Below are 16,934 nucleotides of genomic sequence, written 5' to 3' on the forward strand. Positions count from 1 at the left end.
TACTCTGAGCTACGGGAGGACATTCAAACCACAGGCAAAGAAGTTGAAAACTTTGAAAAAAATTTAGAAGAATGTATAACTAGAATAACCAATACAGAGAAGTGCTTAAAGGAGCTGATGGAGCTGAAAACCAAGGCTCGAGAACTACGTGAAGAATGCAGAAGCCTCAGGAGCCAATGCGATCAACTGGAAGAAAGGGTATCAGCGACGGAAGATGAAATGAATGAAATGAAGCGAGAAGGGAAGTTTAGAGAAAAAAGAATAAAAAGAAATGAGCAAAGCCTCCAAGAAATATGGGACTATGTGAAAAGACCAAATCTACGTCTGATCGGTGTACCTGAAAGTGATGGGGAGAATGGAACCAAGTTGGAAAACACTCTGCAGGATATTATCCAGGAGAACTTCCCCAATCTAGCAAGGCAGGCCAACGTTCAGATTCAGGAAATACAGAGAACACCACAAAGATACTCCTCGAGAAGAGCAACTCCAAGACACATAATTGTCAGATTCACCAAAGTTGAAATGAAGGAAAAAATGTTAAGGGCAGCCAGAGAGAAAGGTCAGGTTACCCTCAAAGGGAAGCCCATCAGACTAACAGCGGATCTCTCGGCAGAAACCCTACAAGCCAGAAGAGAGTGGGTGCCAATATTCAACATTCTTAAAGAAAAGAATTTTCAACCCAGAATTTCATATCCAGCCAAACTAAGCTTCATAAGTGAAGGAGAAATAAAATCCTTTACAGACAAGCAAATGCTGAGAGATTTTGTCACCACCAGGCCTGCCCTAAAAGAGCTCCTGAAGGAAGCGCTAAACATGGAAAGGAACAACCAGTACCAGCTGCTGCAAAATCATGCCAAAATGTAAAGACCATCGAGACTAGGAAGAAACTGCATCAACTAACGAGCAAAATCACCAGCTAACGTCATAATGACAGGATCAAATTCACACATAACAATATTAACTTTAAATGTAAATGGACTAAATTCTCCAATTAAAAGACACAGACTGGCAAATTGGATAAAGAGTCAAGACCCATCAGTGTGCTGTATTCAGGAAACCCATCTCACGTGCAGAGACACACATAGGCTCAAAATAAAAGGATGGAGGAAGATCTACCAAGCAAATGGAAAACAAAAAAAGGCAGGGATTGCAATCCTAGTCTCTGATAAAACAGACTTTAAACCAACAAAGATCAAAAGAGACAAAGAAGGCCATTACATAATGGTAAAGGGATCAATTCAACAAGAAGAGCTAACTATCCTAAATATATATGCACCCAATACAGGAGCACCCAGATTCATAAAGCAAGTCCTGAGTGACCTACAAAGAGACTTAGACTCCCACGCATTAATAATGGGAGACTTTAACACCCCACTGTCAACATTAGACAGATCAACGAGACAGAAAGTCAACAAGGATACCCAGGAATTGAACTCAGCTCTGCACCAAGCGGACCTAATAGACATCTACAGAACTCTCCACCCGAAATCAACAGAATATACATTTTTTTCAGCATCACACCACACCTATTCCAAAATTGACCACATACTTGGAAGTAAAGCTCTCCTCAGCAAATGTAAAAGAACAGAGATTATAGCAAACTATCTCTCAGACCACAGTGCAATCAAACTAGAACTCAGGATTAAGAATCTCACTCAAAACCGCTCAACTACATGGAAACTGAACAACCTGCTCCTGAATGACTACTGGATACATAACGAAATGAAGGCAGAAATAAAGATGTTCTTTGAAACCAACGAGAACAAAGAAACAACATACCAGAATCTCTGGGACGCATTCAAAGCAGTGTGTAGAGGGAAATTTATAGCACTAAATGCCCACAAGAGAAAGCAGGAAAGATCCAAAATTGACACCCTAACATCACAATGAAAAGAACTAGAAAAGCAAGAGCAAACACATTCAAAAGCTAGCAGAAGGCAAGAAATAACTAAAATCAGAGCAGAACTGAAGGAAATAGAGACACAAAAAACCCTTCAAAAAATTAATGAATCCAGGAGCTGGTTTTTTGAAAGGATCAACAAAATTGATAGACCGCTAGCAAGACTAATAAAGAAAAAAAGAGAGAAGAATCAAATAGACACAATAAAAAATGATAAAGGGGATATCACCACCGATCCCACAGAAATACAAACTACCATCAGAGAATACTACAAACACCTCTACGCAAATAAACTAGAAAATCTAGAAGAAATGGATAAATTCCTCGACACATACACTCTCCCAAGACTAAACCAGGAAGAAGTTGAATCTCTGAATAGACCAATAACAGGAGCTGAAATTGTGGCAATAATCAATAGTTTACCAACAAAAAAGAGTCCAGGACCAGATGGATTCACAGCCGAATTCTACCAGAGGTACAAGGAAGAACTGGTACCATTCCTTCTGAAACTATTCCAATCAATAGAAAAAGAGGGAATCCTCCCTAACTCATTTTATGAGGCCAGTGTCATTCTGATACCAAAGCCGGGCAGAGACACAACCAAAAAAGAGGATTTTAGACCAATATCCTTGATGAACATTGATGCAAAAATCCTCAATAAAATACTGGCAAACCGAATCCAGCAGCACATCAAAAAGCTTATCCACCATGATCAAGTGGGCTTCATCCCTGGGATGCAAGGCTGGTTCAATATACGCAAATCAATAAATGTAATCCAGCATATAAACAGAGCCAAAGACAAAAACCACATGATTATCTCAATAGATGCAGAAAAGGCCTTTGACAGAATTCAACAACCCTTCATGCTAAAAACTCTCAAGAAATTAGGTATTGATGGGATGTATTTCAAAATAATAAGAGCTATCTATGACAAACCCACAGCCAATATCATACTGAATGGGCAAAAACTGGAAGCATTCCCTTTGAAAACTGGCACAAGACAGGGATGCCCTCTCTCACCACTCCTATTCAACATAGTGTTGGAAGTTCTGGCCAGGGCAATTAGGCAGGAGAAGGAAATAAAGGGTATCCAATTAGGAAAAGAGGAAGTCAAATTGTCCGTGTTTGCAGATGACATGATTGTATATCTAGAAAACCCCATTGTCTCAGCCCAAAATCTCCTTAAGCTGATAAGCAACTTCAGCAAAGTCTCAGGATACAAAATCAATGTACCAAAATCACAAGCATTCTTATACACCAACAACAGACAAACAGAGAGCCAAATCATGAGTGAACTCCCATTCACAATTGCTTCAAAGAGAATAAAATACCTAGGAATACAACTTACAAGGGATGTGAAGGACCTCTTCAAGGAGAACTACAAACCACTGCTCGAGGAAATAAAAGAGGATACAAACAAATGGAAGAACATTCCATGCTCATGGGTAGGAAGAATCAATATCGTGAAAATGGCCATACTGCCCAAGGTAATTTACAGATTCAATGCTATCCCCATAAAGCTACCAATGACTTTCTTCACAGAATTGGAAAAAACTACTTTAAAGTTCATATGGAACCAAAAAAGAGCCCGCATCGCCAAGGCAATCCTAAGCCAAAAGAACAAAGCTGGAGGCATCACACTACCTGACTTCAAACTATACTACAAGGCTACAGTAACCAAAACAGCATGGTACTGGTACCAAAACAAAGATATAGATCAATGGAACAGAACAGAGCCCTCAGAAATAACGCCTCATATCTACAACTATCTGATCTTTGACAAATCTGAGAAAAACAAGCAATGGGGAAAGGATTCCCTATTTAATAAATGGTGCTGGGAAAACTGGCTAGCCATATGTAGAAAGCTGAAACTGGATCCCTTCCTTACACCTTATACAAAAATCAATTCAAGATGGATTAAAGACTTAAACGTTAGACCTAAAACCATAAAAACCCTAGAAGAAAACCTAGGCATTACCATTCAGGACATAGGCATGGGCAAAGACTTCATGTCCAAAACACCAAAAGCAATGGCAACAAAAGACAAAATTGACAAATGGAATCTAATTAAACTAAAGAGCTTCTGCACAGCAAAAGAAACTACCATCAGAGTCAACAGGCAACCTACAAAATTGGAGAAAATTTTTGCAACCTACTCATCTGACAAAGGGCTAATACCCAGAATCTACAATGAACTCAAACAAATTTACAAGAAAAAAACAAACAACCCCATCAAAAAGTGGGCAAAGGACATGAACAGACACTTCTCAAAAGAAGACATTTATGCAGCCAAAAAACACATGAAAAAATGCTCATCATCACTGGCCATCAGAGAAATGCAAGTCAAAACCACAATGAGATACCATCTCACACCAGTTAGAATGGCAATCATTAAAAAGTCAGGAAACAGCAGGTGCTGGAGAGGATGTGGAGAAACAGGAACACTTTTACACTGTTGATGGGACTGTAAACTAGTTCAACCATTGTGGAAGTCAGTGTGGCGATTCCTCAGGGATCTAGAACTAGAAATACCATTTGACCCAGCCATCCCATTACTGGGTATATACCCAAAGCACTATAAATCATGCTGCTATAAAGACACATGCACACGTATGTTTATTGCGGCATTATTCACAATAGCAAAGACTTGGAACCAACCCAAATGTCCAACAATGATAGACCGGATTAAGAAAATGTGGCACATATACACCATGGAATACTATGCAGCCATAACAAATGATGAGTTCATGTCCTTTGTAGGGACATGGATGAAATTGGAAATCATCATTCTCAGTAAACTATCGCAAGAACAAAAAACCAAACACCGCATATTCTCACTCATAGGTGGGAATTGAACAATGAGATCACATGGACACAGGAAGGGGAATATCACACTCTGGGGACTGTGGTAGGGTAGGGGGAGGGGGGAGGGATAGCATTGGGAGATATACCTAATGCTAGATAACGAGTTAGTGGGTGCAGCGCACCAGCATGGCACATGTATACATATGTAACTAACCTGCACAATGTGCGCATGTACCCTAAAACTTAAAGTATAATAAAAAAATAAATAAATAAATAAATAAATAAATAAAATAAAATAAAAATTATGATCCTTTATGTATCTTTATTAGTGGCCAATATATGTATATTGCATTATGTATACCTAACTTATCACAGTCTACTGGTATCACTATTTCACCAATTTGAGTGTAGCCCTTCTTCCGTTTATGTCCCTTTACCATCCTGATTTATAATATAATTATCTTAAACATTCTCTTACATGCATTTAGAACCACATCAAAGAGTGTTGTTTTTGCCTCAACTCTCACACATAATTTAGAAAACTTAGGAGGAGAAGAAAAGCTTATAGTATTTAACCATGTTTTTGCTTACTATGTTTTTTCTTCCTTCCTACTGTTCCACAGTTACTTCTTCATTTGTTTTCCCTTTGTTAAGAGATCTTCCTTTAGTCATTCTTTTAGAGTAAGTCCACTGGCAACAAATTCTTAGTCTTCCTTCATGTGAAAATGGTTTGATTTCCCCTTTATTACTGAGTGATATTATGGCTGGGTATAGGATTCAAGGTTCATAGTTCTTTTCCTTTGTACTCAGAAAAAAATATTGTGTTACTTTCTTTGAGCCTCCGTGTTTTCTGATGACAAATGTGATGTTAATTGAAGTTTTTTTCCCATATAGGTAAAGTGCCATTTTTCTCTCACTGCTTTCAAGATTTTTTCTTTGTCTTTCATTTTCAGAAGTTTACCTATGATGTGTCTTCTAGTGGGCTTCTTTGGAAGTTTCCTGTTTGAAGTTCAGGATTTAGCTTCTTTAATGTGTCAATTTATGTCTCTTAAAAGTGTGGATATTATTCAAGCATTATTTTTCAAATACTTTGCCAACCCACACCCTTTCTCCACTCCTTTCGGGCTTAAAGGGATAGAAATGCTACATATTTCATTATAATCTCACAGATCCCTGAGCCCCTGTTATTCAGACTGGGTAATTTCTATTGCTCCATGTTACAGTTTACTAATTCTTTCTGTGCCTCTTCATTCTGTTACTGAACGCATCCACTTAGCTTTTTATTTTAGTTATTGTATTTTTCAGTTCTAAAATTTTCTTTTGAGGCCAGGTATGATGGCTCACACTTGTAATCCAAGCACTCTGGAAGTCTGAGGCAGGAGAATTGCTTGAAGCCAGGAGTTGGAGACCAGCTGGGGCAACAAAGCAAGGCCCTGTGTCTACAAGAAAAAATTAAAAATTAGCTGGGTGCAGTGGCTTGCACCTGTAGACCCAACTACTAGGGAGGCCGAGGGAAGGAGAATTGCTTGAGCCCAGAGTTTGAGGCTGTAGTGAGCTATGATCACACCACTGCAATCCAGCTTGAGTGACACAGCAAGCCCCTGTCTCAAAAATGAATAAGTAAATAAGTAAATAAAAATTCCACTTCATTCTTTTTTATATCTTTTACTTGTTTGCTAAGACTTTCTATTTCTTTGATGAGGCTTTGGGGTTTTTTAGAGCAATTTTAGTTAGGTTCCCAGCAAAATTAAGCAGAAGGTGGGGAGATTTCCATATACTCCCTGCCACCCCCTACATGCATAGCCTCGCCTGTTATCAAGATCCCCCACCAGAGTAGTATATTTGCTATAACTGATGAACCTACATTGACAAGTGATATATTATTATTACCCAAAGTTTACATTTCTTTCATTTTCATTTTTTATGTGTTTCTAGCATGTTCATAATTACTCATTGAAACATTTTTATCATGGCTGCTTTGAAAGTCTTTGTCAGATAATTTTAGGATCTCTGTCATCTTGGTGTTGATATCTATTGATTGTCTTTTTTTCATTTGTTATGATATCTTGCTGGCTGGAAGTATGTTGAATCATTTTCAGTTGAAAGCTGGGCATTTCCCTATGATATGAATTGTACTTAAACCTTCGGTTTTAAGGGGCTTTCTCTGGTATCACAATGGCAGGGGAAGTAGGATGTTCTACCTCGTTTCTGCCAGGTGGAGGTAGAAGCCCAGGTTCCTTACCACACTACTGTTACCACCCAATCAGGTTACTACTTGGGAGAGATGGAAGTCCCGGCTCCCAACGTAGTCTCCAATGACAGTGCATTAGTGCTGGATGATACAGTCAAAGTCCAAAAAGGGATTCTCCCCTAGACCTCTTTCATAAGCACCCCAGTGGAGAGAAGGAGTGGTGCCTCCTTACTGCCAAGCAGGGGTGAAAATCCAGACTCCCCATTTGTCCTGCACCAAAACTGCACGTGTGTGTTAGGAGGTGGTTCTTGTTAACAGCAGATAGGGATGAAAGTCCTGACTGTACTTAGCCTTCTCCAACACCACCCCTGTGGAGGTGTTGGGCACCTTGTCATAGCCTCTCAAGGGTGGAGTCTGGGCTCCCTACTTGGCCTTTCCCACTGTGGGTGGTGGGGGTGCTGCAAGTTTTTGTGTGGCGTTTGGGTAGAGAGAAGCAATTATTGTCTAAAAGTTTCTGTCTTGCTAGGCTACACATTCCTGTTTTTTTTGGCAAGAGAGAGCAGCCTTTTGTTGTGACAAAAGCATAGACAGACCTTGAGGTGTAGAAATGTTCAATAACCTTTACCAATATGGGGACTAACTTCGCAGGATTCTGGTGCTGATATTTGAAATAGATATTGTTTTTTGCCTAATCTGGTTTTTTTTTTGTTTCTTATTGCATACTAACACTACCCCCAAAATGCATTTTGCTTTTTAAATTATCTTCCAAAACGTTGACAGTTTCTGTGTTTGTCAATTACTTTAATATTCTATATATTTTTAAATGGATGGTTGGTTGGGAGTCTCTAGACACAACACTTCACACTAAGCAAGGCTGACAGTTAAGTGATGCGGAAGCCATTATCTCACCTTTGTGCTTGCAGGCTGTGGCCTCTTGCCTTTTCCTACTTCATAATAAATAGCATTAGCATTGAGGAACTTTTTAACACCTATTGAGGACAGGGTTTTTCTAATCCCCTCTCAGAGAGGCTTTTAAAAATGAATGACTAAAACCTAACAAACATAACATACATAAAAGAGAGCTATGTAGCAATCTTACATATGAATTTAGATTCAGAAATAGCAAATAAAATACCAACAAACCAAATTGAATGTTACAGTAAAAGAATCACCTACCATGACCAAATGTGATTTATCCCATATTATAAAATATATTATTGTAATGTATAGTATTTGTTGGTCCACGAAGAAAACATGATAGTGTCATTAGATGCTGAAAGGGCATTTGATAAAATTCAGCATTTATTTATGAGATTTATTCTGAGATAACTAGAAATAGAAAGATGTCTTCTTTAAATAATAAATAATAGCTATCTTAAACCAAAAACCGACATCATATTTAATATGAAATACTCTTGGCATTCCTCCTAAAATCATGAAAGAGGCAATCATACTAAAACCATTATACAATTACTCTAGATGTAGATATTCCAGACAAGGCAGTAATATATATATATAAAAAAAGAAGAGCTGTAACTACAAAATCACCATTTACAGACAATATAATTTTTTCACTTAGAAAATTCAAGAGCATTATCTTTGAACTTATCAACAGATCAGACACTTGGTAAATATGTAAAACATTCATACTATTTCTATAAACAAGTGAAAGCTAATTAGACGGTTGAATTCTTTAGAATATTTCACTCCTGATAGTACCAGAAAATATAAAATACTTAGGAATAACCCTAAGAAGAAAGATATAGAACCTATGTAAAGAAAACTATGAAATTCTACAGAGTGATTAAAAAATTATTTACATGAATTAACAATATATCATGTTCTGAATAAGGAGACTGATTATTTTAACAATTGAAGGTATTTTGAAATTAATTCAGAACTTTTATGCAATCCCAGTCAAAATGCCAGTGGATTTACAATATTGATAAAATTATTCTTTAGTGTATCTGAAAGTATACAGGCAAGAATTGCTAAGATAACTTTTTAACTTGACAATAAGTAGGAATTTCACAACATTTTATTGTGAAAAATTTCAAACTTACAGAAAATTTTAAATATAGTACAGTGATTATATAAACATTTTCACTGGATTCAACAATTGCTAACATTATGTGACATCTGTCTACACAAAGGAGAAATTTAAATAAAAATGAATAAATGGTGTTCTGTTGTAAATGCGATATCAGCTACAAACCCATATCTTTCCTTTCCCTTAAAACACCTCCTCAAAAGAATAACTATATTTGCTATGAGCAGTTTTTAATGTGTGTGTGCATATACACATTCATGCTCGCTTTTCCCTTTAACTCCTTATTATGAAACATTTCAAATATATGCAGATATAGAGTGAATAGCCTGATGTATCCCTGAAAATCAGGTAGTTTTGACACTTAGCAACCCATCACCAAACTAGTTTTATATGCTACCCCGCTACTCTACCATATTATTTTGAAGCAAATCCAGATGTCATGATACTTCATTTGTAAATATTTTAGTACATATCTCTAAAAATAAGGACTTTTTTTTAAAAAACAAAGTATTATCATGCCTGAGAAGATTAACAATAATAATGTGATATCAAATCTCCAGTTCATGTTAAATTTCTCTATCTCATTTTTAAAATCATGTTTCACATAAGACTTATACATTGCAATTGGTTGATATATTTCATAAGACTCTTTTAATATGTAAGTTTATCCTCCATCTCCTTGTTTTTACTACTTTATAGTTTATTTATTAAGGAAACCGGGACATTTATCTTATAGCATTTCCCACAGACTGAATTCTGTTGATCTCTTGGTGTCCTTTTGTTCCTAAAATTTCCTATAAATTGTTTATTAGATCTGGGAGATTGGTTTGATCAAATTTTATATTTTAGCAAAAATATTTCATGATTTTTGTAAAGGTTTCATGGGCACTTGAAAAAAAGGGGTTTATTTTCTCTTTTCAGCATACAGAGTTGCAATTTCAACAGTTAGATTTACCTCATTGGTTACGTTACATGCTTTCTGAGAGAGAGAGCTAGAGATGTAGATATATAGATATATCAGCTGTTATGGAGTTAAAAATCATGAAGTTAAAATCTCATGCTAATAATATTTTTCTGTATTTTTCCTTATATTCTATAGTTTTGCTATATGATGTCAACATTGTATTATTTGATATATAGATAGTCATAATTGTTAGAGTATCATCGTAGAATAAAATATACCTGTTAACATTTCTAGGTGTCCTCTTTTCCCCCTTCTTTAATGCTTTTGTCTATTTAAGATTGTAACCACTGCTTTGCATTTTAATGAACTTAGAAGAGTACAAAACTGTGCAAAAAGTATTATGAAAAATTATGCAGTTGTGGATTTATACAACTTTATGGTATTCATTCATGGATGACACGAAGGAAACAGATCAAATTGTAAATAGTGTTTAACCTCCAAGTGATAGGATTATGAACAGTTTTAATTTTCTTCTTTAAAGTTTTTCCAAAGTTTTCTTTGGTGAGCCTGTGTTATTATAAGGCTCAAAAACATCTATTTTATATGTGTGTGTGTGTGAGACGGAGTCTTGCCGTGTCACCCAGGCTGGAGTGCAGTGGCATGATCTCAGCTCACTGCAATTTCCGCCTCCCGGGTTCAAGCAGTTCTCTGCCTCAGCCTCCCAAGTGGCTGGGATTACAGGCGCCTGCCACCACGCCTGGCTAATTTTTGGATTTTTAGTAGAGACGGGGTTTCAACATCTTGGTCAGGCTGGTCTTGAACTCCTGACATCGTGATCCACCCGCCTCATCCTCCCAAAATGCTGGGATTACAGGCGTGAGCCACTGTGCCCGGCCAAAAACATATGATTTTTACAAAAGAAAATTTAAGAGAAAGTATGCAAAGATAGATTGATTTTCTTAATATTTTCAGCATAGTCTTGCCACAGCTGAAATAGGAAGAGTATTGAACAGTCTCCCTTCCCCCAGTTTTAATCACAACTAAAATCATACACATGCATCTTCCAGTGACGCATTTGAAATGGTGAAATCTGATTGCTAGAAATTGTGATGTGAATAAGTAAAAATTTACTAGAGTCTCTGATATGACTTGAGGATTAGAAGTAGAATATAGGAGGCCTTCTGAAAATCTGTCTCACATTCACTCAGGCTGCCCTTGGTTTTGAGCCAGATAACAAACCTTTCAGTTGAATTTTTTCCATCCAGACACTGGCTTAAATGAAGGTATACTGAACTTGGAGATGTCATTTCAGCATTTGGCTGGAAGAGCTGTTGTAGAGGAGCTTCTTTAGATAGGAAGCCATGAGGGAATTCTCTGAGTACATGCATTTTCACACATCTGCTAATGCAAAAGCCCCGTGTGAGCATTAGTACTCAGGAATGTGATGTGGATTCGAGATGATCTCCACAGGATTTTGGCAGGTCAGAACAAACATTATCTTGCTCCCATATGTTTTTGTAGGATCTTGAAAGGGAAATCATATACATTTCCTTAAACTCACATGCTGAATTTTCCCACATAGACAAAAAACAAAACAAAACAAAAAACCATCTCAGCAAAAATAAATTCAAGAATATGTATATATGATGTTCATATATTTAGCATCTGTTGTCAATACAGCAATGTAAGCTGATGGCTATTGGAATTCACATACAGTTTGCATTTACTTTGATTTATGTTTAAATGGCTTATCTCAGAAAACTTGACCCAAGAGATAAAGACTGTGAAAGATTCCACATTATGGGTAAGTCTTTTTTTTTTTTTTTTGAGATGGAGTTTTGCTTTTGTTGCCCAGGCTGGAGTGCAATGGTGCGATCTTGGCTCACTGCAACCTCCTCCTCCCTGGTTTAAGTGATTCTCCTGCTTCAGCCTCCCAAGTAGCTGGGACTACAGGCGCCCACCACCATGTCCAACTGATTTTTTGTACTTTTGGTAGAGACGGGGTTTCACTGTGTTGGCTAGGCTGGTCTCCAACTCCTGACCTTAGGTGACCCACCCACCTTGGCCTCCCAAGGTGCTAGGATTACAGGCATGATCCACCACACCCAGCCACTGGGTAAGTCTTCTTTAATTTCTCTCTACACTACATTTCCTTAGGTGCAGCATATATGTGACCTGGTGCCCCACACCTCCACTGCTTCCCTGCCAATATCGCTGTTCCCCCAGATGGACACACCTCTCAATAGTTTTGTAGTATTTGATATAACTCGGACATATTCAGTATAAAAACAACCAGGGAACCCCTGTGAAGCTAAGAAAGGATTTTCAAAAATAATAATGATAATATATACTATAGACAAAGACCCTATCTGTTTTTTATCACCCTTGAGCAAACCCAGCCCTATTTGGTATGGGGCCTTACATGGAGTGGGCAGTCATTAAATGTTGACTAACCCTTTTTCTAAGTCTTTTTTTTTTCCTATTTTAATTTTTATTGGGGGGGAGTGGGGGTACTCAGTCCCAGAAGACCTAAGTCTTTTAATTCTCTACTTGTAGTGCCTCTGTAAAGTGATCCGTAATCTGCCCAGTATTAATAGTTTGGCTCCTTTTTCTCTGCAAACATATTATTAAAAGTTGAATAAAGAAATAAATCCTGTGCATATTGGTTGATTCTCATTGGCATATATGCTGACATATTTAGTTTTATTTCATTCTCTGTGACACCCAAGACCTTCTGTAGAACTGAACATAATTTTGAGAGAAGAATGACCACTAATCACTATTTGTTTTCATGTTTTGTGAATGAGTTTTGTTGCCATAGTCTCATGTGTCTAATCAAATTGATCTTCAAACCAGTTCTAATCAAATCAGTTCTTTTATGTGCTTATACTACATGGTTTTCAGCTATCAAATGTTATTTCAAACTTGTATCTAGGAGAGAGATATATATATATACATATATATGTTTTTATTATTTAACATTTGGAGGGAAGTCAGATATCTTTGATCTCATTTCTTTTACTCATTTTGTGTTTGTTTATTTAACACCAATGGTTTCCTATTGGCTTCTTTAGCTGGAAAAATTATTTCTACAGGACAATAAAACCTGGGATTCTCCTCCACAAAATGAAACATGAAGTGATAATACCATTAATCTATTAACAAATAATTGCCCTTGGGTTCTTTTCCTGGTATCTCGAGCCACCAAGATATAGCTTTTACTTGATCTGAATTTGTCAGTCTATAAAAGTAGGGATTATAATATAACAATGCATCTTTTTATTTAGTTTGTTAACTACATTCTATTGTAGAACTGTTCTTATTTTTAAGATCGTAGAGATCCATAGAAGTATTGGCATTCTTGTACCAGTTATTCATATTTCACTGCATGTTAGTATTTTGGCATCATTTCTTACATACCCTGTTATTGTTTAGGGGAAAAATGTGGAAGCATTTCTTGATATTTTTTCACTATTTTTCCCTAGTGAGTTATGTAGTTAATCATATTAAACTGTTTTTCAGTTTTGAAATATGAGAGATTTGTCAGCCCTTTGAAAAAATGGTTATAGTTCATTTTCCATATATTACTCAGCATTATGGGTCTGCCTGCCAAGTGATCCCAGGTGTGGGATTGCAGCAGGTAATTTCCTGAGCTGTATGGTACAGATGATTTTCTGTGTTAGAAGATGCTATCGGCTCACCTGGCCTCTTAGTGACAGAGAAATCCTTTGTTTATTCATTTAGTAGGCAGATTAACCCTAATGAATATTGGCTTCCTGGAAATAGATACAGGTGACAATGGCAAAGTGAGGAGTGGGGAGATGTAAGACAAATTCCCTTTTCTTTCTTCACTTATAAATAATGGTGGCTTTCATAGGAGAGTGTTTTAAATCAGAAAGGAATGCAAAATATTTGAACTAAAAAGATAGATTTAAATAATCAACCTTTAATTTTTAGTTTTGAATGTCTAGGTATGTGTATATTTTTCAGAAGAACTAGAGATTTTCTAATTTTGGCAAATACTTAAAAGTTTTATGTTGCCATTATAGCTAAACGAAAATATTTAATTAAATACTTCATACTGGTTTGGGCAGAGCTACTCACTTGAACACGAAAATGCTTTCCTAATATGTCCTTGTATTCAGATAAATTTTGTGAATTAGAGAAGTGTAACATTCATCAGCCTCTCTCAGCCTGTGAAAGAAAATGTGCATTATTCTGTGTCCTTTCTTATAGTGTGGTCATATTGCTTCAATGACATATTTGTTTTCTCAGAGCAAGGATGAAGGACTAATCTAGGCATCAGAAAATTATTCATAGAGTTATGCTATAAACTATAAAAAGTTCCTAGAAATAAGCTATTTTAAATTCATTGCTTTGTTATGGCTTTTAGAATATTGACAAAAAAAATTTTTATCAATATAATTTTATGGATATTTGATTGTGTAATTATCAATAATCTATGATGAAAATGAAATGTTTGTGATTGCAACTCTTAAGTTTTGCTCACCAACAGAGTACTTTACAACATTTTTCTGTGAATGGTTTTGGACATACACTATTCCCAAGATGGGAATGTATAGATACAGATGTGGAAATCTCTTAATGTTCAACCAGACTTTTCCAGATCTTACAGCTATGATTTATACTGCATTCTCCAAAGACTTCCAAAATGTCTTCTTTTACGTAACTTTATCCATTAGAGGAAAAGTTAAAATTCTTCCCCTCCTCATGCTAAATGCTGAAGATAGGCTTTTCATGATACCTTTTGTAGTTGACTTATAAAAGCTGTAGAATTTCAAGGAAGAAGTGAAAAAACAGAGTTTACCTTTCCACAAAGATTTAAAATTTACGATTTCTTCTAGCTATGGAGTTGAGATTCTACTTGAATTGTGTTATTGGGAATTCTGAGTAATGTGAAATGTATGTGAATTGGAAGCAGTAATAAATTGTGAATGAATCTTTTGCTTTTTACTTAAGATTACTTTATCCTTAAAACTAATGTTTCTATAACCTCTGACCGAATACAGAAGATCCAAAATACTTCCAAGGGTGAGAATTTTTCCTTGCCCGTTGTGAGCAGTTTAATTCATTAGAATTGTGTGTGCGTTGTGGCATGTGGGTACATCAGAAGTATATTTGCAAATTCTGAATTTACATATCACCTTGAGAAAATGTGAGGCAATCCTTTACTGAATTGTCAGTGATACTTATTTTCAGAGACATTAGAAAAAAAGAGCAGTGTATATGTGTCATGTTATCGCACGTGAACCACTGCCTATGTTAAATAGGTTTTTCTTTCCTTTTAGTGAAAAACCGAAGGACAATAGTCATTATATGATTTTGTATTTTAAGTATTTTCATAATCCAACATAAATTGGCCCACCCAAGGATTATGTCTGTTTTATAAAGATGTGTTTATATAGTCATTGGGTGAAAGATTGCAGAAGTTGAACCACTAGTTTTGAAAGTTGAGCCAGACCAGGAAAAATCAGGATACAATTTGGCACTTATGGAGACGAAATGATTTCCTTTTTAGCTGCTGATTTCTACTGGGAAATGTATCCTTGGACTGAAAATTGCATCCGGAAAAATGTTTATGTAGTGTTTTTCAAATGACTGATTATTCTTGTAACCTTTAACATGAACTGTGTCTAATTTTGGTCTCTCTTAACTCTTTCACGACTAGGGGATTTTTCTTTGTGGGAAAAATATTACAACCGTATCATTACTACTTTGAATACAGGAATGTCTTACATGGTAACAAGAATACAAAATGTGTTAAGATTTCTTTCTGGGTTATTTTTCCAAGCGGGTAGTAGAACGCCCAAGGTTATACACCCTTCGTCACAGGCACTTAAGTTTTAGATTGCATTTAAATTAGGATACATCTCGAAACATAAACAAAAGAAAAAAGAGAGAAAAAAAAGGATACATCTCAGCAGCTGCATCTCTTCCACTTCACTACCAGCTACACACATGCAGTAGGAGCTTCTTGACATTTTCATGGGTAATATTTGGTCTTCGCAAGTATCAGTACTTCTCTATTTTCTTTCTTGTACATTTAGTGACTTTTCTGGCTAAATTATTGCTGAATATTGTCCGTCGCAGATTGAGGGGTCTCTATTCCATGTTATCTCCATTCAAGGAGCCAGGTTAGCGAAGGCTTCACCACTGAGTTATTCTAGGTAACCATTAGGTTTATAAATATAAGAGTGTTTTCTCGTGTAAGTGAGGGTTTTATATTACTGATGTGATGTGTGAGTGAGCAGGGATAAGGGGACACTGGACATCTCATGGTGGTCACTTCTGCTTACAACTCATGAGCTATAATTGTGCTGTCCAATACAATAGCCACTAGCTGTATTTTTTTAAATTTAGATTTAAAATAATGAAGATAAAATGTATAATTCATTTTCTCAGTTGCACTAGCCACATTATCATATTAGACAGTACAAGGTTTAGAACATTTTTATCATCGTAGAAAGTTCTGTTGCAGACTACCAGGCTAGAACTTTAAGAGGATGGGGAAGTACAGCTATCTTGTATGCCCAGAGGTGGGAAAGAAGGAAATATTACCAAACTTCAATAATGTCTGTCATCATTGGTAAACTGTATGCTTGAAAATTACTCCTCAGATCCTCTATATCCTGTTTTTCTGTTTTTGGGGGAGTGGAATAGGGAGGAAGGGGGCTACAAAGTTAGTTGGGTGATATAAAAAAAAATAATACATATACACACGAATGCATACATACTGCTTCTGTGTGAAAAAAGAAAACTTAAGGAGTACATACTTGAAATTAACATTCTGCCAAGCAGGAGTCATTCTGTTGGATGCCTTCCTCTGAAGGAAGACTGTATTGCATTTGTGTGGCTTTGGGGAAGACATTCAGCAAAGAACACCACAATTCCCATTGAGCTCAGAAAATGTGATTAAGGAGTTTGAATGTAATTACCCAAAGTTTGGCTTTTCTTTTAAAGAACCCATTCATTTTAGAGATTCCTTGATACTGTAAACCTGACAACTCAATCTGGTTTTCTTTTAGGAAGCCTTCCACCAGGAATAGTGTGAGTCAAGGATGAG

At 36.4% G+C, this 16,934-nt stretch overlaps 1 protein-coding gene and 1 long non-coding RNA gene across 11 annotated transcripts in view, besides 1 other annotated feature; one reads left to right on the forward strand and one right to left on the reverse strand.

Annotated features, from left to right (window-relative positions):
• The window catches only part of BCAS3 (BCAS3 microtubule associated cell migration factor), a 714,981-nt gene that overhangs the window by 433,431 nt on the left and 264,616 nt on the right, over positions 1-16,934 (forward strand). The gene's annotated exons all lie outside the window — the stretch shown is intronic.
• Positions 1-16,934, reverse strand: part of BCAS3-AS1 (BCAS3 antisense RNA 1) — a 101,500-nt gene that overhangs the window by 76,769 nt on the left and 7,797 nt on the right. The window contains exon 2 of one of the 3 annotated variants that reach the window (NR_186507.1): positions 5,297-6,144. The exons of the other annotated variants lie outside the window; for them this stretch is intronic. This is a non-coding gene — a long non-coding RNA (BCAS3 antisense RNA 1). The remainder of the gene's footprint in view (positions 1-5,296; positions 6,145-16,934) is intronic. 3 annotated transcript variants of the gene reach the window in all.
• Positions 11,812-11,990: a silencer, noted in NCBI's record as "fragment chr17:59200454-59200632 (GRCh37/hg19 assembly coordinates)". NCBI's record gives its function as "represses an EF-1alpha promoter that drives an FKBP-Casp9 reporter gene in an ReSE screen in phorbol 12-myristate 13-acetate-treated (for megakaryocytic differentiation) K562 erythroleukemia cells {active_cell/tissue: K562(+PMA)}" and the evidence as "EXISTENCE:reporter gene assay evidence [ECO:0000049][PMID:32094911]".

The sequence above is a fragment of the Homo sapiens genome, chromosome 17, assembly GCF_000001405.40.
Source record: "Homo sapiens chromosome 17, GRCh38.p14 Primary Assembly".
In the NCBI taxonomy this organism is placed as follows: domain Eukaryota; kingdom Metazoa; phylum Chordata; class Mammalia; order Primates; family Hominidae; genus Homo; species Homo sapiens.